Source organism: Homo sapiens, chromosome 21 (genome assembly GCF_000001405.40).
Source record: "Homo sapiens chromosome 21, GRCh38.p14 Primary Assembly".
NCBI lineage: Eukaryota > Metazoa > Chordata > Mammalia > Primates > Hominidae > Homo > Homo sapiens.
In genome coordinates, this window is record NC_000021.9 from 7,772,507 (window position 1) to 7,795,075 (window position 22,569).

At 45.6% G+C, this 22,569-nt stretch overlaps 2 protein-coding genes across 5 annotated transcripts, besides 1 other annotated feature; one reads left to right on the top strand and one right to left on the bottom strand.

The window, feature by feature from the left end:
* Window positions 1-22,569: part of a sequence alteration artifact (region identified as an assembly artifact by the Genome Reference Consortium. This region falsely duplicates sequence located at GRCh38 chr21:34374240-34495759) that runs on past both edges of the window.
* Window positions 323-13,801, top strand: LOC105379504 (salivary glue protein Sgs-3-like). Of its 3 annotated transcripts, XR_007067801.1 has the most exons (4): window positions 323-2,082; window positions 3,763-3,831; window positions 5,162-5,430; window positions 5,772-10,937. XR_007067801.1 is itself a non-coding variant. In XM_047441056.1 (3 exons), the coding sequence occupies exon 1, from the start codon at window positions 2,783-2,785 to the stop codon at window positions 3,782-3,784; it is 1,002 nt and encodes a 333-aa protein (XP_047297012.1). In that variant the 5' UTR covers window positions 323-2,782; the 3' UTR covers window positions 3,785-5,430; window positions 5,772-5,902; window positions 13,168-13,801. The 3 variants fall into 3 exon arrangements, 1 of the variants encoding a protein (XP_047297012.1); XM_047441056.1 differs by adding an exon at window positions 13,168-13,801 and having other exon boundaries at window positions 323-5,430; window positions 5,772-5,902; XR_001754936.2 differs by lacking the exon at window positions 323-2,082 and having other exon boundaries at window positions 3,566-3,831.
* LOC107983987 (small integral membrane protein 34B) lies at window positions 11,981-21,433 on the bottom strand. Of its 2 annotated transcripts, XR_007067779.1 has the most exons (3): window positions 21,315-21,403; window positions 16,355-17,112; window positions 11,981-13,391 (listed from the first exon to the last, which is right to left on the bottom strand). XR_007067779.1 is itself a non-coding variant. In NM_001386820.1 (2 exons), the coding sequence occupies exons 1-2, from the start codon at window positions 21,319-21,321 to the stop codon at window positions 16,700-16,702; spliced, it is 420 nt and encodes a 139-aa protein (NP_001373749.1). In that variant the 5' UTR covers window positions 21,322-21,433; the 3' UTR covers window positions 16,197-16,699. The 2 variants fall into 2 exon arrangements, 1 of the variants encoding a protein (NP_001373749.1); NM_001386820.1 differs by lacking the exon at window positions 11,981-13,391 and having other exon boundaries at window positions 16,197-17,112; window positions 21,315-21,433.

Genomic DNA, 22,569 nt, shown 5'->3' on the forward strand with positions numbered 1-22,569 from the left:
GAGGACCATTTGAGGCCAGGAGTTTGAGACAAGCCTGGCCAACATGGTGAAACTGCTTCTCTACTAAAATGCAAACAAATTAGCCAGACATGGTGGCTGACACCTGTAATCTCAGCACTTTGGGAGGCCAAAGTGGGTGGATCACTTGAGGTCAGGAGTTCAAGACCAGCCTGGCCAACATAGTGAAACCCCATCTCAACTGAAAATACAAAAAAATTAACTGGGCATAGTGGTGCGTGCCTGTAATCCCAGCTACTTGGGAGGCTGAGGCACGAGAATCATGAGCCGAGATTGCACCACTGCACTCCAGCCTGGACAACAGAGCAAGACTCCGTCTAAAAAAAGAAAAAAAAAGAGGATAGGATTAGGGTGAGGGATGAGAAATTATTTAATGAGTACGATGTACACTACTACACTCAAAGCCCAGACATCACCACTGAGCAATCAATCCATTTGACAAAACTGCACACCTGCACTTGTACCCCTTAAATTTATATACAAACAAAAACAAAGGCAAATCAAAAATAAAAATAAAACAAAATGATCTCTAAACAATACAAACAGTAACTGATGAACCTAGCTGCTTATCATGTCAGTTCCAAAATCACACAGAGTTGAATTTCTTTCAAATGACCCTACAACACAGTATTTTGATCATATATTCTCCAGTAGAGTATAAGCTAAGGACAAAGAAAAACACATGAAATCTTAAATGGTACTCGGTAGTTTTATTGTTAATAATGATGCTGGTATTATTATTTTGAAACTCATGTCCATTTCTCAGCTGCCATTTGATATTAATTTTTTTTTTTTTTGAGGTGGAATTTCACTATCACTCAGGCTGGAGTGCAGTGGTGTGTTCTCAGCTCACTGCAACCTCCACCTCCTGGGTTCAAGCGATTCTTCTGCTTTAGACTCCCAAGTAGCTGGGACTACAGGCACGTGCCACCACACCTGGCTAATTTTTGTATTTTTAGAAGAGACAGGGTTTCGCCATGTTGGCCAGGCTGGTCTCGAGCTCCTGACTTCAGGTGATCTGCCTGCCTCAGCCTTCCAAAGTGCTGGGATTACAGGCGCGAGCCACTGCGCCCAGCCAGTGATTTTTAACCTTTATCAATCTGATAGACAAAAAGATCATTTCATTGTTTTAACTTCTTTAATTATGAGTAAATCTGGCAATATATTATGAAAACAATGACAAGAAGAACTTGATATAAAATGCACAATTCAGACGTCCTTGAAGATCATTTTAGAGGCAGCATGAAGTGGGGGGTGGCACTGGTGATGGGGGCTGGGTGTGGAGAAAACCAGCCAAAGGAGGACTCATGGGATCCTGGAGCTTTTGACTGGGGTTCACTTGGAGCCCATACTCAGGCTGGTTCTGACAGCAGCACCTGCCAGGCCTCAGCTTAGGGGCACAATGTGGGACACATGGACTGGGGGTGTGGTCCCAGAGCCTAAGAGGCACCAACAGAGAGGTCTCCGCAGAGACTCATCTGTGCCCCCCACCCACCACCCCGGGACAGGCCAAGCCAGCGTCTGGCCAGGAACTGCTTTTGCACAAGGAGCCAGAAGTAGTTTGCCCCGATAAATGGGGGCCTGGACTCACGCAAACCATTGCACCATGGATGGCCAGAGAAACTCAGAGAACCTTCCTGTGCTTGTTAACATACTCTCTCACGTCCTCTGCAGCCTCTGCCAAGCCAAGCAGCCAGCTCCTAGGACTCCCCTCCCTCCACCTGAGGCTCCTTGTCCTCCCTTCCTCAGGAGTCTCCAGCCTCCCGGGACTTCCCCTCCCCGCTGCCCACTCCAGCAGAGGCTGCCAACTGCCTGGGAGAGAGAAGTGGGCTTCCTGGGGCCACCTCCCCAACTTTGGAGTGTTTGGAAGGTGATGGAGCGACCACTAGGAGGCAGTGTGGACAGGTCTCTGTAGGACTGCTCAGGCAGACACCTTTGCAGGGACCTCCCAGGTCGGGAGCCCTCCACACTTTTCCCATGGGAGCTTCTCCCTCCACCCCGAGTCACTACTATCTGCTTTCCTAGAAGGCACTTCTTTACTTCTAATTCTTCTCCACTGCCCAGGTAACTGATATTCTCAAGTGGGACATTGTAATTTGTTTAATTCATTTAAATTGATTTCATATAATTGGGAGATAAAGATTGTTCAGTTGCAAGACAAAGTCTTAACTTGAACTCTCAGGACACGGGTGGGTCCCTAAACTCAATACGTGAGTGTTGCTGCCGGGCTGTTGGGCCATCTTCCACCCGCCATAGATCACTTTCTTCATCAAAGAAGAAGGAATATTTAGAAACTGGTAGTACAAAAAAACAAACAAACAACAACAACAACAACAAAAAACCAAAACAACAAAAAACACCAAATCACCAAAAACAAACAAACAAAAAACAAATAAAAACCCAAAGCAGTTGCTCCTATAAATAGATGTGTGTATACATGTGGCTGGTATGAATCTTATCCACAAATTCAGTTTTGTGGGAAACATCACATTTATTTATTTAAATCAAGTCATATGGGACTTGGGCATGGTTGGAGGTTCTTACCCCACCCCACTTCCCAAGGCCAGTGCACAGGCAGGGCCTTGAGGTCACCCTTAGCCGATGCTTGGGTCTAGGTGCTCAGACCCAAGCCCCTGTGGTCCCATCATGTGGGCACTGGCATCTTTGCTGAGGCTGAGAATTTCAAAGCCAGGATCCAGCCCATTTAGGTAAACCCAAAGTCACTCTCCCAGGTGGCCCAGTCATCTTCTTGAGAACAAGAGCCATGAGCCTCAGTTCCCTGCCTCAAGAGCCTCTGTTCAACCCTAGGCTTGTAGACAACTCTGCCCCTTCTTCTCTCCCTTCAGTGTCACGGTCCCCTGTCCCATCCCTCTCTGGGACAGGTACCACAACCTCCCCACCATACACAGGGAAAGGGTCAGCCCTCAGGTTTTTGGCCTGGCATCTTGAATCTCCTCCCAGGCAACAAACCACAGAGGGCCTGGCATTCTCCTGTGAAAAGCAGGGCGGAAAGGAAACACAGAGAACAAACCCACAGACAACAAACCCAGAGGCAACTAACCCACAGACAACAAACCCACAGAGAACAAACCCACAGAGAACAAACCCACAGACAACAAACCCACAGACAACAAGCCCACAGACAACAAGCCCGCAGAAAACAAACCCACAGAAAACAAACCCACAGACAACAAACCCACAGAAAACAAACCCGCAGAGAACAGACCCAGAGACAACAAACTCACAGACAACAAACCCACAGAGAACAAACCCACAGAGAACAAACCCACAGACAACAAACCCACAGACAACAAACCCACAGAGAACAAACTCACAGAGAACAAACCCACAGACTACAAACCCACAGAGAACAAACCCGCAGACAACAAACCCAAAGAGAACAAACCCACAGACAACAAACCCACAGACAACAAATCCGCAGAAAACAAACCCGCAGACAACAAACCCACAGAGAACAAACCCACAGACAACAAACCCACAGACAACAAACCCACAGAAAACAAACCCACAGAAAACAAACCCGCAGAGAACAAACCCACAGACAACAAACCCACATCAACAAACCCACAACAACAAATCTACAACAACAAACCCACAGAGAGCAAGCCCACAGGGAACCAGCCAAATTATGTCTGCTGTGCATCTCGGCAGACGATGCTGCCACCGTCTGTGTATGAGCATGTGTGTGTCAGACTTTCCCATCGTCTCCAAACTTGTTTTCAGAATAATGCTTCCAGTGAAATGAGTCGGCCACATGAGGTCACAAAGCCCCTACTCTGTTCAGCACCTGGGGTAAGTAATAATATTTTGGAGCACTTAGTGTGGGGAGTAGCCCTGACCCCTTTACATGTCATGTCTTAGTTCATTCTTGTTGCCATCCTTGGAATTGAGGCCAACATCATCTGCCCATTTGCCAGACAAGCTGCTCAGGAGGAGAGGGCCACAGCCCCTTATCTCCTCGCCAAACAAGAGAAGATCCCCAGTTGCTTTTTTTTTCTGTGGAAGAGATTCTTTTAAAAACATTTTTTTCATGGAGAAGAAAATCTGAAAAAAAAGAATGAAACCGAACCAATAGTCCCATAGACAGTTAGTTGTTGTTGTTGTTGTTTTGTTTGTTTGTTTGTTTTTGATGAATACAGAAATTGACCCTTCTGGTCTTAAAGCTTGAAAATTAAATTTGTTTTATCTGAGTTGCTTCCTCAGGAAAGGAGCCCAAGTCCTCTCCAAAAGTATCAGAGAACTGAAACTCACCAGATCATCTTGTCTAGACAATGAGACGTCAGGCCCTCCATTCATCATGACTGCTTCCTTACCCCTCCCGAGTTCCTGTTACATTTCTTCCCTGCTATATAAACCCCTAATTTTAGTGGGTCCAGAAGATGGATTTGAGACTGAGCTCCATCTCCTGGGCAGCAGCACCCAATTAAAGCCTTCTTCCCTGGCAATACTGATTGTCTCAATGATTGCCTTCCTTCCTTCCTTTCTTTTTGAGATAGAGTCTCACTCTGTCACCCAAGCTGGAGCACAGTCGCTCTATCTTGGCTCACTGCAACCTCTGCCTCCCAGGTTCAAGCACTTCTCCTGCCTCAGCCTCCTGAGTAGCTGGGATTATAGGTACCCGCTACTACAGCTGGCTAATTTTTGTATTTTTTTTTTTTTATAGAGATGGGGTTTCACTATGTTGGCCAGGCTGGTCTCAAACTCCTGACCTCAGGTGATCCACCTGCCTCGGCCTCCCAAAGTTCTGGGATGAGAGGTGTGAGCCATCACGCCCAGCTGAGTATGTGTGTGTGTGTGTATGCTTATGGGGATGTGCAAATGTGTGTGTGAATGTGTGCACGTGTCCTTGTGAATTGTGAATACCCAGGACTTGAGCACACTCAGTTCCTGATGCACTTCCTGTTTTCTCAGCAGCTGAGCTCAGGCCTGGAACTGAGTGACAGCACACCCGGGCACCTGTCTCCCTGGGCACCCCTCCCCCCGGACACCCCTCCCCCGGGCACCCATCCCCCCGGGCACCCCTCCCACGCCTGCTTCCCACGGCATTCCCAGCTCCCACCACTGGGAAGGAGCTGGAATCATGAGTCGGGATAATCACCGAATTCTCTTCGACCTTCCTCAGCTCCTGGTTTGTTAAGGCAAACCCCCATCTCTGGCTTCTCCTGGAACCTCACCTGGGAAAGAAAGAGGCAGCCCCGGAGCTGGAAGCTGCTTCAGGGCTCACCCGGAACAGCAGACTCAACCTGGACCCATCCAGGCATCTCCTGGGAGTTTCACCCAATTGCTTCTGCCTGGCACCAGCTCAGAGGTTCTGACAGAATTGGCCTGGGGTGAGACCTGGCATCCATGGGATTTTTACAAGCTTCCAGGTGATTCTACAGGGAAGCCAAGGTGAGAACCCCTGTCCTAGAACCAGGTCTGATCAGGGGCCGGTGGGGAACTGTGGGTGGAGAACATTAGTGCTTCCAGAGCCTCAGGGTTGGTTTTGAAAGGAACGTAACACATTTTTTTTTCTCACAAAGACATATAGAGAGAGACTTTTTAAAATAGACATATATATAGAGAGATGTTTTAATAAAGAGAGGTTTGGGTTTATATAAGTAAAAAAGATGATAGAAAATAGAGAATGAGATTAGGCTTCCCCTTGCTCTCAAAAAATGGTTTGAGAGTCTTGGAACTGGTTCCACTCTATGATAGCCATGAGTACTGTTCGCCCAACTTTTGGTTCTCAGCCTTCCAGGCCCCGGTGGGATGAGACTTCCCTGCCCCCACGGTTGAGAGGAGCCATGGGCTTATTCTAGCCAATGAATGGTGGATGGACGTGACTCGTGTCTCTTCCAGGCTGGAGCATTTAATTGTCCAGGTGAGATACTCAGGGACTCGTCCCTCCAGAGCTGAGAATGGCCATGTTTCCAGAGGGTCTGCAGGAGCAACCTGAGTCTCAGAGCACAGCCACCAGCAGACCTGCTGCACGCATGTGGCGGGGGAAAGAAAGAAAGCCAGCTGTCTGCAGCCACTGAGAGTTTGGGGTGGTTGTTTCTCATGACAAAACCAGCTCACCCTGACTTATACAAAGTCTTTGAGTTATATAGATGGAGAATGAGGCTCTTGGGTCCCTCTATTCTCACAAAGCAATAGCCTAGCTAAATCCATCTAACTAGGGAGCAGAAAAGGGGATGTGCTGGCTTGCACACCCTAGACAGTTGTTCAAGAAGTCAGGACACCAGGCCTGGAGTGATACTTCAGCCATCCTTCTAGGTGAGGGTCTTGAGGCCACACAGACAGAAGTGGCAGAGATGGGACACACATTCGTCTTCTCACTCACAGTCTGGCACTGAGCTGTGGGCTGCTGGGACACCATGCCCCCATACGAGTAGCCTTCCCACTCCTTACCTTGAAGGAAAAGTGTTTTTTGGACAAATACCTGATGGAAACATTACATGGGCCTTGGAATCTGTTAGATCTAGCTTCCTGAAACTCTTGCTAGCTGTGTGACAATATACAAGTTTCTTAACCTCTCTGAGCCTCAGTGCTCTAATTACACTCCCCTCATAGAGTTTCTAAGAGCATCCTGGGGCTGGCACGTGTCAACGCACCCAGTATTTGATAGAGTTTGTTAAACGTTGGTTATCCTCTCTCCCTATCGCACCTCAAATGGTAAGGGCTGCCTGCCAGCTTCCATATCCCCAGCAGTGCCCTGAGTTGTTCAGATGTTCATCCATCTCCCACAGAACTCAGGTTCCTTTGGAGGAAGCCACATCAAGTCCTGCTCCAAGCTTAAGCCAGTCAGCACATTCCATGCTCTGCCCCATTGCCAGGGTTCAGGAGTATGCTCGTGATCTAAGCACCCCCACTCCCAGATACAGCTCAAGATTCTTGCTTGGACTTCTGGGCACTCAGGCTCCTCCGAGAGGGAATCAAACTTACTTCTCTCCATGTCCTTTCCTCTAGGAGATGCGTCTTTCATAAAACTCTCATCAACACTGTTCAGACATGTCCCACCCCAGCAGGGGACAGCCTGGGCTCAAGCTGGGATCCCTACTTTATTTATTTTCTGCTAATTAAACTTCCTAATATACTCCACACTAAGTGTGCTTGCAAGGCAGGGGGTGTGGGATAAGCGGCCCTGCCTGGCTGGGAGAGGGGGCAGCTCCCTGCTGTACTATGTATTAATAAAGAGACACATGCATGGCAGGGCTTGTCTGGGCCTTGGTGGCAGCTTAGGACAGAAGGCACGTGACAGTCAGGGGTTCAAACAACCCAGGGAGAACACTGCTTCAGGGAAGACAGCTCAGCATCTTCCTGGCAAAGATAATGACATTGATAATACTCTCCAAAGAATTTCAGGATTTTGAGCAATCAGAAAAGCAACACAGAAATTCATGTCATCAAAACGATATGGCTCTATTGGACACTTAAGACATTTATTGGAGGCTCAACAACATAATCCTGCTGGTTGGTTTTACTTCATTGATTTTCCGTTGTGTCTGATTACATTGCTAATGCTGATGGTGGATGAGCTACGGCTCTTTTCCTGCCTGTCCTGAGGTTTATCCACCAATGTTTCAGTTCTGTTTTAAGATATTGTCCTAAGCCCCCAGCATCGCATGCATGCTGTTTTTTTGTTTTGTTTTGTTTTGTTTTTTACAAAGAGTTCATAGCCCGTGGAAGACTCTCCTCCATCACACACTTAGGTTCCCTCCACACCAGGCCTGGAAGGAGTCTAGCTTCTGGGGACTGTACATATGCTGTGGACCATGCAGAACCTGGAGAGGCGGTGACCCCTTCTAGAAGTGATCTGCCTGAATCCTTCCCTCTGGAGGAGGCATTTATTAAATGCCAGGTTCCTGAAAGGCTCTGAGATGGGCACTCCCTCTCCTGAGTCGTCCCTTCCATTACTGCTTTCCTATTTCTGGCCAGGGTTCCCTGGCCCCTCCTCCCTGCTCCCATGGGACCCCAGTTCATCCCCATCTTTGCTCAATTGCCCTGCACTGTAGTAATCCATTGGCACTCTTGTCTTCTCCAGGAGAAATAGTTGGAGGAGAAGTTTATAGGGTTTCCTGGGCCAGGGCTGGTCTACAGTCACTGGACAGCAGGAAACGACCCTTCGGGGCCTAGGAGGGCCAAGGCTGGTGGGCAGGTACAGGGGGAGCCAGCACTGCTGTCCACCACTGTGCAGCCTGGAGGCTGTTTCCCATGACCCTGCTGATGGGACCCAAGGCACCCCAGGCCACCCACTCCCCTGCCCCCAGCAGGGTGTCAGCTCCCCGGCTTCCCTGCATGCCTGCCTGACATGGACAGTGCACCTTCGGGCCACACTTGCCCTGCTAGCGAGCCTCCAGTGAACTGGGAATTCCACAGAGTGTAGAGGACTCGCCCCAGCACTGTGCTGAGAGGCTTCACCAAACTGTAGCCTGGCTTCCACCTGCACTAAGCTGCATCCCCAGAGGCGACCCCAGCCCTGGCTGAGTCTTGGCTCAAGACTTTGCAATGCAGCCAAATCACAAAATGCACCTCGTCCAGCCCACCCCGCTAAACCATTTTCAGTAGTTCTCCCCTCACCGTTCTGGAACTTTCCATTTCCACGTGGCCCCCACGTTCTGTTTTCATTTCTCCTTCAGTCCCTTTTTGTTCCCTTTCTGTTCTCTCTTTGAAGACCTCAGTCACCGTTTTCTGAGTTGGGGTTGAGCTTGGTCGGTACTGGAATCTCTTTCCGCTGCTGCAGGAGTCTGAAGGAATCAGTCTTGCCGCCTGTAACACATGTCCAGCGCTGCTTTTTCTCTGATGAGTGTCTTAGTCAGTTTGGGCTGTTAAAACAAATGGCTTAGGCAACACACGTTTCTGTCTCACAGTTCTGGAAGCTGGAAGTCTGAGATCAAGGTGTTGGCAGATTCGGTACCCGGTGAGGACCTGCTTCCTGGTTCGCGGGTAGAACACTTCTTGCTGTGTCCTCACAAGGTGCAGAGAGAGAGGGGGGTCTGGTGTCTCTTCCTGTAAGGGCACTGATCCCATCATGGGGGCCTTACAATCGCGACCTCATCTAAACCTCCCGAAACCTCATCTAAATCTCACCTCCATACTATCACATTGGGGATTAAGGCTTTAACATGTGGATTTCAGGGGACAAAGGACAAAAGCATTCAGTCCATGGCACATGCTCAGTGCCTCGACTCTTGCAAGTGCCACACCACAGCCTCTCTGGGGCTGTGTCCTGGAGGCGTGTGCCATGGGCCCTGTGTGCCATGGGCAAGGCGCACAGCATCCTCCCGGCCACCCCACCAGCGAGTGAGCTCCTGGCACCCTGGCTCTCTCTGGTCACCCATCTACCAGTCTTGGTGCTCCTGTGCACTAGAGGACCAGCTGCCTGGGGACTGTGGGCCAACTGTGGCCCCGGCCACCCACGAACTTCCCCTCCGGCCAGTGGCTGCAATCACATCTTCTCTAAAGACGTCTGAAGCCCAGCCTTGGGGAGCCGAGTTGGTCCTTCCCTGGGTACTGAGCCCTAGGGAACCCTTGAGAGTTCTCTTTGTATCTTTGTAGTTTCTTCCTCACCACTTAATCATTTCCTTACAGGAAACTTCCTGTGTTCAAGTGACTGTATGGTTTCTGCCTCCAGCTTCATTTGTGGGTGCCATAAGAGAGGCAAGCATGGAGCACTAGGCGCAGGGGATGGGCAACTGGCAAGCGGGGAGATGCATGCAGCGCACTTAGTGCCTGGTACATACCAAGTCCTTTTAGTCTGGATTTCATTATTTTTAAATGGGTATTGCTATTTTTAAAAGAATAGTTACAAATATTTATTGTGTGTTTTGAAATAAGTGGGTCAAGATCAATAAGATATTGTTGATCAATTGATCAATAAGATATCTTTTATTCTTAAAAATCATATTCTTCTGGTTCAGTGGGGAAGAGACTGCCGACCTGTATTTACAGCATTATGTGATAAGTGTTCTCCTTTTCAGGTATGTATTAGTCTGTTCTCATGCTGTCAATAAAGACATACCTGAGACTGGGTAATTTATAAAGGAAAGATGCTTAATTGACTCACAATTCCTCATGGCTGAGGAGGCCTCAGGAAACTTACAATCATGGCAGAAAAGGAAGCAAGCATATCCTTCTTCGCATGATGGCAGGAAGGAGAAATACAGAGCAAAGTGGGGAAAGCCCCTTATAAAACCATCAGATCTTGTGAGAACGCAATCACTATCAAGAGAACAGCATGGAGGTAATTACCCACCGGCTCCCTCCCATGACGCATGGGGATTATGGGAACTATAGTTCAAGATGAGATTTGAGTGGGGACACAGGCAAACCATATCAAGGTGACTCCTGCAAGCACCTACCTCCACCCCTCCTTCATCCTTGCCCTCATTCTACAATGATTTGGTGAAATCTGGTCCCTGCCTCAGTTTTACAGCCTCCCCATGACTCTGGTTACTTCCTGATTAGCTTAAACGAAACCTAACTAGGTTGCCCTAGGAAAGCATTTCTGTTCCTGACACCCCCCATCTGCCTGCTGCTTCCGTTCCACCTGTATGTGTCTGGGCACATCCCTGCATCCCTTTGCTGGCTTCTAGCCTACTCACTTCAAGCATTTATCCCATGAGTTTCATAAAATCGTAGAAGAAAAGGGCTTGAGGCAGTGGTGGGGAAATGATAGGAAAGTCATTTCTGGATGCATTCTGCCATCCTGCAGATCCCTAAACCACCTCTCCCTCTCCATTCCCTCCCTCCAGAGAACAGCTTCTCCTTGTCTCCTGTGGAATAGTTCCGCCCACATTCATGGGCCCTTCCTGTACCAAAACTGTACAGGTCTCTCTTGCTTACCAAACACTTGGCAAACAAATGTGCCGTCCTTGGAAAAATTCTGTTGAATAAAATTTTCTCTCTTTGATCCATCCAAATGTTTTACAAAGTGCTACAGAAGCCATGGAGGAACAAGCAATTCTGCCTTAGGGATCAAGGTTTCACACAGGGGGTGATATCTGAGCAACAGTGCTTTTTTGGTTTGTTTGTTTTGTTTTGAGATGGAGTCTCGATCTGTTGCCCAGGCTGGAGTGTGGTGGCACAATCTCGGCTCACTGCAACCTCCGCCTCCCAGGTTTAAGTGATTCTCCTGCTTCAGCCTCCTGAGTAGTTGGGATTACAGGTGCCCGCCACCATACCCAGCTAATTTTTGTATTTTTAGTAGAGACGGGGTTTCACCATGTTGGCCAGGCTGGTCTCGAACTCCTGACCTCAAGTGATCTGCCCACCTCGGCCTCCCAAAGTGCTAGGATTATAGGCATGAGCCACAGTGCCCAGCCAACAGTGCTTTTAATTGGCATTTTCTTCAAAGACTTTGATGTCCTATAGGAGGGGGCCTATGACTCAGCCTCAGCCAATCAGAGCGCTCCATTCCCTGGGTCACCTGCACACCTGCTCTTCCCTGATCCACTGCAGTGCCCTCACCCTGAGATCTGAAACTTGAGCAGAGGCACTAAAAGGCAGACATGGGAGCTGAGCTGTCTTTTGGGAGAATCCTAGTGAGAAGGTTCTCCAACTGGGGCCGCCAAGTAAGGGCCTCATGGCAGACTAACCCCTCTCCTTCCTAAGGCTGGGAGGAGCTGCTGTCCTTTTGATTCTGTGAGCTACCTCAGTTACCTTCCTCAAAATCACACACACGCGCACACACACACACACACACACACACACACACACACACATTTGCATGCGCTAGGTAGAGCTGTTTTCCATAATTGCCAACAGAAGACTAACTGTATTTGAAGAATGAGCTGGCATTCTTCTGCTCCGGTAGAAGTCAAGGCAATCAGTTATGAGAATCAGAGCCCACCTGTGACTCCAGAAAGAGGTGCATAAATACCAAGAATTTAGTCTCTAAAGTCTTTCTTTAAGTCCTTTTTTAAAAAATGTGATGAGTACATCACCCAGGAAAATCAAATTGTAATGCAACCGAGTCGATGCAAGTTTTATTTAGGAGATGGGTTACAATCACCTGGGGAGGCTCTAGTTACCTTGATTTGGTCTGGTACAAACCCTAGCACCATCATCCACAGATCCCCAGAGGAAGTCATTCCTGGATGACTTCCTCATCGATTTTAAATAATTTCCATTTCAGAGGAAGGCCTTTATCTGACCTGATCCCCTAAATATTGGGGGAAACCTACATAGGGACAAAGACAGCAGGTGTCTGCAATGTTGAGAATCAGTGTGTTCTGTCACTGTCTCTATCAGGGCTGGTGGCACATGCAAATCTCTTTCCCACTCTCCAGTTGAACACTAACGCCATGGTGCCCACACCTTCCTTATTAGTCCATGTACATGGGGTTTGTCAAGACAGTGGTTCATGGCTCTGACCCTGAGCATGTCAGATTTCAGGGGCTTTATGCAAAATATCCATACCAGTTGGGGTCATTTCCCATCAGTATTGCTCACAATGGAGCCTACAAACCCCTAGTTCCCATCCAACACATCTCCAAGGCAGACTCTCAGACCAGCTCCCAGAAATGAGGTGAGTTTAGATCAGGCAGCAGAGAGGTGGCCTAGGAAGGAGTCCTTGGAGCTCATGCACCTGTGTCTGGGCACCAACAGGAAGATGGTGGCTTTTGCTCTTTGGGAGATATCTTTGGAGCCAGTCTCTGACCACATGTCCAACAGGACAGGCATCCTTGGGGTTTCCATGGCAGTCTACTGACAGTCAGGGGTGAGGATTAAATGGTACAGAGTCTCACTGAGTGCTCTTTGAGAGGTCAAGCAATGAGAAGTCCTGCAAATGATTATTGAGCTGAAGTAAGAAGTGTACCGAATCTGTTTTTCCCCTATAAATATAAAAGCCTATAAATATAAAAATCTTGGTGAAAAAAAATGATCCCAGCCTCCCACACAGCACATCACACATCTTCTCTTTTCAAATTTGACTCCAAGGCCCACTTCCTTCGGGAAATCATTTATCCAGTGGTATCATTTAGGATATTTTTGGTTGTGAGGAACAAAAGCCTAGCTCCAAAAGACTTAATAAAAGGATCTCATTGGTTCACAAACTGAAAAACTCCAGTGGTAAATGAAGGCTCTGGGTACAGTTGGTACAGGCTCTGGTCTCTGTAATTTCCTAGTTCTTCTCCCTTCTAGATGCTGGGTTTTTGCCTTCAAGTTGGCTTTCTTCATGGTGGCAAAATGGATCCAGCAATTCTGTCAGAGGTTTTCGAAGCAGAGTGACTCCATCTTGATTAAAGGCTGTGTAAAATGAGGATGAGACTTGCTGGACTGCATTCCAGGAGGGTAGGCATTCTTAGTCACAGGGTGAGACAGGAGGCCAGCAGGATTGATATCACAAGACACAGGTCACAAAGACCCTGCTGATAAAACAAGATGCAATAAAGAAGCCAGCCAAAACCCACCAAAACCAAGATGGTGATTAATGTGACCTCTGGTCTTCCTCACTGCTCATTATATGGTAATTGTAATGCATTAGTGTGGTAAAAGACACTTCTACTAACTCCATGACAGCTTACAAATGCCATGGCAATGTCCAGAAGTTACCCTATATGGTCTAAAAGGAGAACCTATATAGTCTAAAAGAACTGAGGGTTCTGAGAAATCCCTGACCCTTTCCTGGAAAATTTATGAATAATCCACTCCTTGTTTAGCATACAATCAAGAAATAACCATAGTGTACTCAGTCAAGCAGTCCCTGCTGCTGCTCTGCCTATGGAGTAGCCATTCTTTTGTTCTTTACTTTCTTAATAAACTTGCTTTCATTTTACTTTATGGACTTGCCCTCAATTCTTTCTTGTGCAAGATTCAAGAACCCTCCCTTGGGGTCTGGATCAGGATCCCATTCCCGTAACAATTTCAGGCTCAGATCGGCTTTTAACACCATCCAGAGCAAGAGAAAGCTTTTTTGTTCCAGAATTCCCCATTAAAGTTCTCCTGGTCACTCTTATTGGGTTGTTTCGCTTAGGGTCAGGTGTCCATCCTGGTCCCAAGCAATGAGGCCAGGAGATGGGATGCAACGACTGGATCAATCTAGGCCTCTTATTCCCACTTTTTAAAACACTTATTATTATTATTTTTTAAAAATTATTTTTCATTCAGCTTTTTCATTTGAAACTTATTCCAATTCTTGAACTGGGGGTAGTTTCAACTTTCCTAGAGCTGTATGGGTCCTCAAATGAAAATTCGGGGCAGCTGGATTAGAGAAGGGGGAAATGCATGCTGCAGGGGCAACCAACAAGGGGAGATTGTGCCAATTCACTCTTCCTATCCTCAGATTCACCTAAGTTCTGACCATTCAGCCCCATTTGAATGCATTCTGTATTCCTATGACTGTGGATTACATTTTTGTCTACCTTTGTGTCTTCTGTTTTGTCCTGCCCTATAAGCATCTCAAACATATGCATAAAGCCTATATAAACTTTATAAATAAACTAACACTTCTGTTTTCAACCTGTAGGATGATGACAATGATGATGACGACAATGATGATGGTAATGATGTGGAAAATGTGAAAAGAGAAAGAAATACTTGGAAATATATCTCACCCTCCATAAACAAAGCTCGGGGTTTAATTCTGACCTGTATGAGTTCATGGGGTGAACTGCAGACCGCTGTCTGTGGACAGGAAAACGATATTTCATCTCTAGCCCCAGGGACATCTCCAAAAGCTGAGCTAGATGAACTTTATATAAATTGGTACAAAATATAATTTTCTCTTTGCCTGCTGAAAGCCATTTCTAGAAATTCTGTTAATCAGAATCTCCCTAAGTTAATCAGTCATCTAGACAGATCTTATTTCTTTTTTAGACAAAGAAAAGTATATAAGTAACAGGTATTGGTAAACCACTTGAGTGAAGCATATGATATCTAATGTAAGGAAATCTAAAAGTGTCCACAGGCAAAATCTCATGGATTCAATTGATAGCACAGGTCATCAACTGACATGCAGACGGAATTCTCTTGTGGAACAAGACAATACAGCCATTGCTTAGAGACTAATTGTCAAGGAATTAGTCATTTCCTGTTTCAGAATAGCATCATCACCACCACCATTAATGCCAACATCAACCACCACCACCTACGCCACCACCGTTAGCATCATAACCACCACCAATAACATCACCAACAGCAACACTGCCATCAACATAAACCATCACCACCACCAAAACCATTAGCATCACCTAGAACCACCAGTCACCACCATCACCACTTACCACAACAAGGCTTATATTTACATACTTATTTTACTTTTCGAAATACATTCACATGCATGGTTTCATTAGATCTTATCTACTTGGTAAGGTTGGCAGATCTGACATCATTAGCCTCATTTTATCTGTATGGAAACTAAGTTCTAGAGAAGCGAAGTGATGTGTGAAAGGACACCAGAGTGATTGATAATCAAATCCAGACTAGAGTTTGGTTCTTCTGACTCCAAAATTAATACATTTTTCTTAAAAGAAAAAAATTTTTTTTGAGACAGGGTCTCACTCTGTCACCCAAGCTTGAGTGCAGTGGCATGATCACAGCTTACTGCAGCCTCGACTTCCCAAGCTCAAGCAATCCTCCCACCTCAGCCTCTCAAGTACCTGGGACCATAGGCACATGCCTGGCTAATGTGTTTTAAACATTTTTTGGCTGGGCACGGTGGCTCATGCTTGTAATCCCAGCACTTTGGTAGGCCAAGGCAGGCGGACCACAAGGTCAGGATATCGAGACCAGACTGGCCAAAATGGTGAAACCTCATCTCTACTAAAAATACAAAAAAATTAGCCAGGCGTGGTGGCACATGCCTGTAGTCCCAGCTACTCAGGAGGCTGAGGTAGGAGAATTGCTTGAACCCAGGAGGCAGAGGTTGCAGTGAGCTGAGATTGTGACATTGCACTCCAGCCTGGGCGACAAGAGCAAACTCCGTCTCAAAACAAAACAAAACAAAACAAAACAAAACAAAACAAAACAAAACAAAACTTTTTTTTTTTTTTTTTTGTAGAAACGGGGTCTCCCTAGGTTGCCCAGGCTGGACTCAATCTTCTGGGCTCAAGTGATCCTACTGCCTCAGGGTCTCTAAATGCTGGGATTCAGGCATGAGCCACCACACCCAGCTCCAATGCTTTTTTTGTCGTACCTAATTCTTTCAATGAAAATGAAGAATTTCCAACTTCTGATATTAACAACTTTGGTCCTATATTCAAGCTAGAGTCTTTCAAATAAAATAGACTTTTAAAACCATCTGTCTCCAAACCCTAAATGTCTCAGGTGAGCAACTAAGCTGCTCAGTTTATGTGACTCCCCAGAAGTTGAATTTTAACCCAGAACTGACTCCAAGTTCATTCTTCTTTCCACGACAAGGAGTCACCTCCTTGTATGCCCCCAGGAGTCTCCCGGATTCCTCCGAGAACAGTGGAATAGTGCTCCTCCCCAGAGCACAGGTTTTGCCAGTGAAGATTGAATTTGGCTAGAAACCGCTGCCCTGCTCTCTCTTCTCGAAGCACCTGGAAGTCTGAGAAGGAACTGGGTGGCTGGCTCTGGTCACAAACTAGCAGCCAGAAGCACCCCTTGTCAGTGATGCACCCCCAGTCCCCCTCAAGGGCTCCAAGTAAACCCAAAGCTGCTCCCCTCCAAGAAGTCTGGGGCCACCCTAGGGAAGGCCTCCTGGCCTTGACTCTCAGGGGGTCTCTGGGGTTGCGGTTTGGGGCCCGCTGCTTCCGCCCTTTGCCCCCAGGTGGGCCTGGCAGGGCTGCAGCACAGCTCTGTTGCTGATAGACAGGGTGGAGCACTTGGCGACCTTGCCCTGCAGCCCTGTCATTTTGAGTTCAGAGGTCAGATTTGAGTAATAAACATCTTCTAAGGACTTGTCATTCTTTCTGAGGATGTTGCTGGCCAGCCGGAAGACGAAAATCACCGCGTAGATGCCGATGATGGTGAGTATATACCAGGCAGCGCTGGTTCCGTCTGGCACCTTCAGAGCCCTGGTGGAGTTGGTGTCATTCCTCCCCTCTGTGTGGTCACCCAGCAGGAGCCCCAGGAGGGTGCTGGCCTGGGTCTGGTTGGAGGCTTCATGGGGAGTCCACTTGGCCCCTGAGAAACAGAGAGGTCCGGATGAGATCCAGCGTCCTGGGCTGAGGGCTGCCTGGCCACACCAAGGAGAATGGAGCCCTCATATCCGTGAAAACGTGTCGCTGCTCAAAGAGGCCTTCTCTGAGGCATGAGCAGGAGTGTAACAACAGGTATGTCAATATATTTTTAAAAATCAAAAGAGTCCAAAACACTATTTTGTTGTTGTTTTGTTTTGTTTTTTGTTTTGTTTGTTTTAGAGAGACAGAGTCTCTGTCACCCAGGCTGGAGTGCAGTGGCATGATCATAACTTACTACAGCCTCAACCTCCTGGGCTCAATTGATCCTCCTGCCTCAGCCTCACAAATAGACATGCAGCACCATGCCGGGCTAATTTTTTTCTTTTTTCTCTCTCTTTTTTTTTTTGTAGAGATAGGGTCTTGCCATGTTGACCAGGCTGGTTTTGAATTCCTGGTCTCAAGAGCTCCTCTCACCTTAGCCTCCCAAGCCCTGGGATTACAGGCAGGAGCCACTGTGCCCAGAAAAACACTAAGTTCTTGAATAGGAGACACAACATCATAAAGATGTCAGTTATCCCTCAAATAATTTATACAACAAACATAATTGCAATAAAAACAGCAATAGGATTTCTTTGTGAAATCAATAAACTATTCATTTAGAAAAATCAACTGTTGGCCGGGCATGGTGTCTCATGCCTGTAATCCCAGCACTTTGGGAGGCTAAGGTGGGAAGATTGCTTGAGCCCAGGAGGTTGAGACCAGCCTGGCCAACATGACAAGACCCTGTCTCTACAAGAAATAAAAAAACTAGCCAGGTGTGGTGTGCAAGCCTATGGTCCTAACTACTCAGGAGGCTGAGGCCGGAGGATCACTTGAGCCCAGGAGGTTGAGGCTGCAGTGAGCTGTGTTCACACCACTGCATTCCAGCATGGGACCCTATTTAAAAAAAACAAAAAAAGAAAGAAAGAAAAAGAAAAAGAAAAATCAACTGTCAAGACTAATTAGAAAAAAAAATCTGAATAAAAAGAATGACTAATGAATTAGCCTAGCCACAAATTTTAAATCAGCCAGCTATAAAAACTAATTTACATTTTTTTCAATGAATGAAAGCTTTATATGCACAAAGCCCAGCTGGGACTTGCTGGGCTTTGCAGAGTGTGTGGGCTGGGGGTTCTTCAGAACCAGGTACAACTCTCCCTATAAAACTACAACAGTGCTGGGCATGGTGGCTCACACCTGTAATCCCAGCACTTTGGGAGGCTGAGGCAGGTGGATCACCTGAGGTCAGGAGTTCGAGACCAGCCCTGCCAAAATGGAGAAACCCCGTCTTTACTAAAAATACAAAAATTAACCAGGCGTGGTGGCACACACCTGTAGTTCCAGCTACTAGGGAGGCTGAGGCAGGAGAATCGCTTGAGTCCAGGAGGTGGAGGTTGCAGTGAGCCAAGTGATGCCTGTAGTTCCAGCAAGACAGAGCAAGACTCTATCTTAAAAAGTAAAAAAATAAAAAATAAAACTACAACAGCTAAAATAGTGTGATGCCTGTAGTTCCAGCTACTAGGGAGGCCGAGGCAGGAGAATCGCTTGAGTCCAGGAGGTGGAGGTTGCAGTGAGCCAAGATCGGGCCACTGCACTCCAGCCTGGGTGACAGAGCAAGACTCTGTCTTAAAAAATAAAAAAAATAAAAAATAAAACTACAACAGCTAAAATAGTGTGGTGCTGAAAACACAGGCAAGCAGACCAATGAAACAGAGTAAAAACAGCATCAATAGTTAGCAATTAGAATTTGATAGCTAGCTAATAAAGGAGCATTTCTGATCGGTGGGAAAAGATGAATTATTCAATATGTAGCATTGGGGGAAATAGCATTAGATCCACATCTCTCCACCATATGACCAGATAAATCGGTCCAGATTAAAAAAAAAACAGCCCAGATAAATCAAATATTTTAACATAAAAAGTGAAATAATTTATAGTACTAGAGTACAGCATGGCAGATTTTTTCTTTATCATCTCAGAGTGGAATATTCTTTTAAGCATAACAAAAATTCAGAAGAAACAAGAAATAGAAATCAAATTCAACTACATAAAAAAAATTAAGCTATTTCATACCATAAAACCAACAGGCAGATGACAAAGTGCAATTTATATCACTGATTTTCTAAATAGCCTTCGGTTCTGTAAGAAAAAGTTTAAAACTGCAGTAGAAAAATGTGCAAAAGATATGGACAAATAGTTCACAGGGAAAAAATGAACATTCAACATAAGAAGAGCTTCTCAATATCACTCATATAAGAAAAATGCAAATTAAGATAATAACTAGATACCATTTTGTTACCTATTGGACTTGCAAATTCATGATGTTTCAGAATAAACTAACAAAAAAATGGCTTTTTTTTGTTCTTTTGTCCAGCTTAGAAGAAAGGTGTCTAAATTGGGAGCAAAGGTGGCAATGACGTGGACTTGACACCAAAAAAAAATTTTTTTAAAGAAAAGAAACAAGTGCCTCTGCATTTCAGGGGTTTAGGATTGGCATTTTTAAAATGTCAACAAATAAATGTTCATATCCACACTTGACATTTTTTCCAAGGAGAATTTTAATTGTATAATTGCTGGTAAATTCATGCAGCCAACATGGAGGGCACACGGACAAGATCTATGAGCATTACAAGTGCACTTACCTTTGACCCAGCAATTCTATCTCTAGGAATCTATCCTAAAGATGCTCCAGAACATCTAGAGACAACATATGCTGAAGGTTAGTCATTGCAGTCCTCCTTGTGATGACGAATGCCTGGGAACAGCCTGAATAGCACCAACTGAGGGATGGTGAAATACATTTTGGAACCTCCATGCAGTGGAGTACTACACAGTCATAAAAAGCAATGAGTTTTTTATGGTACTGAATGTTAATAAGTGAAAAAATAAGCTAATGGTGACATGCTCTGCAATGCCACTTGTAAAGAAGGGGGAAGTTATATGTTATTTGCTTGTACTTTTTTTATGTATAGAACATCTCTGGAAGAATGAATAAGAAATTAGTATCTGCAATTGCCTCTGGGGAAGAAACCTGGGGGAAGAAGATATATTTTTTACTGTTTGCCCTTTTGTACACTTAGTACCGTGTATACTTATTTTTGAAAAGCAAGAGTGTACCAGTTGGTACTTTTCTGGTCTCCCTGGTGAGGTGCCCCTGGGTAAAGCCGTTGTATGCCCTTGTAAGACCAGAAGATTAAGATCTCAATTGCTGTTCAATTCAAAACTGTTTTCTCTGCTTGGAGAGCTGGTGGAGAAAATGAAACAATGAAAACCAGAGCTGTAGAGTGCAATCCTGTGAGACATTTCCCAGTGGGGCCTTACTGGCTCAAACCCCCATTTCTTGCTCTAATGTGAACACAGATGTATTTAAAAACACATCATAGGATCAATCTTGCAGCCTGCTGTGCAGAACAAAGGTGCTCCAAAATGCTTCCCATTTGATCGTTGTTTGTTGCTAATTCATTTTGCGAACGCAAGACTCAGAGAGGCCAGTATTTTTTATTATAGTTAGTTGCCAGAATGTGTGAATGAGCTTATTACTTTTAGATGAAGGAAGAAACTATTTAAAAATTACTTTTCAAACTACATGTGACAAAGCCCAGGACAAATGAACAGATTTAATTACATAAAATTAGTCACTCGCAAGAAACAACACCACAAGCATAAATTTACACCATTGTTTGGTAGAATGGTTTGAGACATTAAAGTAAGGAAGGTGAAAAATTCCCGTAATTATTGCAACAAACAAACAGACAGCAAATCAACCCAACAAGAACACAATATCCTTATATTAGGGCAAGAGAACTTATTGAAACTCAGAACACATGTATAAACTCATAGAACTTTCTAGAAATTGTCATAGAATGATGCAACACATTCAAATACAAATAAAATATCCCCAACTAAGAGCTACACACAGAACATTAAATTATTTAAAAACCAGTCCATTTTCTACACGAAAGAAACTCACTATATTAATTACTGCAATACATTACATTTTACCTTTCTTACAAAGGTAAAAGTAAGTTAGGTTGTATCTTAATGGACAAACATATCCTGTAGAAGAGAGAAACTTTTTCCTCTGTGCTATTTTGTACTTGTAATTTAATGACGTGAAATATGTAAAATCTCAACCTGCCCATCCTTGCATTGTAGCTGAGTACTCACATTCCATGGGGTGGTCTTGTCCTTGACTCTTGGAGGGGCAAGTTCAAGCGGCTACCATGCACAGAAGGGGAAGATGATGAAAGGAGAACTCCGTCTCCTAGGGAAGAATCAGTCCTACTGCAGTTGAGCTGCACTGAGTTTCCAGAGTGGGGAGTAATATGATCTTCCAACAATCTTAGGGCAGCACCAAACAGAAACTTAGTAAGTGGATGACTTTGCTTTCATGCAATTAATCAGAGGATCCGATTTGCTGTGTCTTCTGTTGCATCAGAACAGAAAGCACTTCCCAGCTTTGACTTGTTAAGAAGTTCTCAATCAAAACAAATTTTTAAAACGTGCTGGTATTAAGGAATCTCCATCTCTCAGGTCCCATCATGAACTGAGGTGGCCAGAAGCTCCCCCTGAGGCTGGCTCTCCGCTTAGAGCTTGGATGGCTATTGAATTCCCCTGTGTTCTGCACCTGTTGCAGGTGTGGCAGATGGCCAGGTGTGGCAGAGATCTGTCATCATAGGGCCAGGAAACTCCATGGTCAAGAGTCACCAGCTTCCTCTGGACAGTCTCCCAGATGAGGAAACCCAGACAGGAAGGGAGTGACACCCCAAGGGTGACACACCTGAGGGGACTTGGGCTTTCCCTGAGGGGTCAGTGGGCAGTGGACTCCTGTGCCAGGTGGTGAGAAATGGCTCTTCTCTTTCCCAGAGTCACAGACCCCATTGGAGTTGAGGTAGGCTTAATTGGAAAGTGTTAGAGTAAGTGTCTGCGGGTAAAGTTTCCCCAGGAGCAGGGAGGGAAAAGTTGGAAGACTGGCAAGTTAAATCATCCAGCCATTGTTTCCAGTTCCATTTCTTCCTAATCCTCACTCTAGGACTCTAACTTGCCACGTTTGTGATGGTTGCTGGTTTTTAAGATACAATTTGATGAAATTTCCATCAATGGGGTACTGGGTAAGTAAGTTATAAAATAAGCCATATGATCCAGCAATTCTACTCCTGGGTATCTTCCCAGGAGAAATAAAAATGTAAGTTTACACAAAAACTTGAACACACATGTTCAAAGCAGCATTATCTGTAATAGCAAAAAATGGAAACAACCCAAATATCCAACAACTGACTAATGAATAAATAAAATGTGGTTTATCCATACAATGGAATGTTATTCAGCAATAAACAGGAATGAAGTACTGATATATGCCATAACACGGATGAAACTTGCAAACATTGTGCTAAATAAAAGAAGTCAGTCACAAAGGACTACA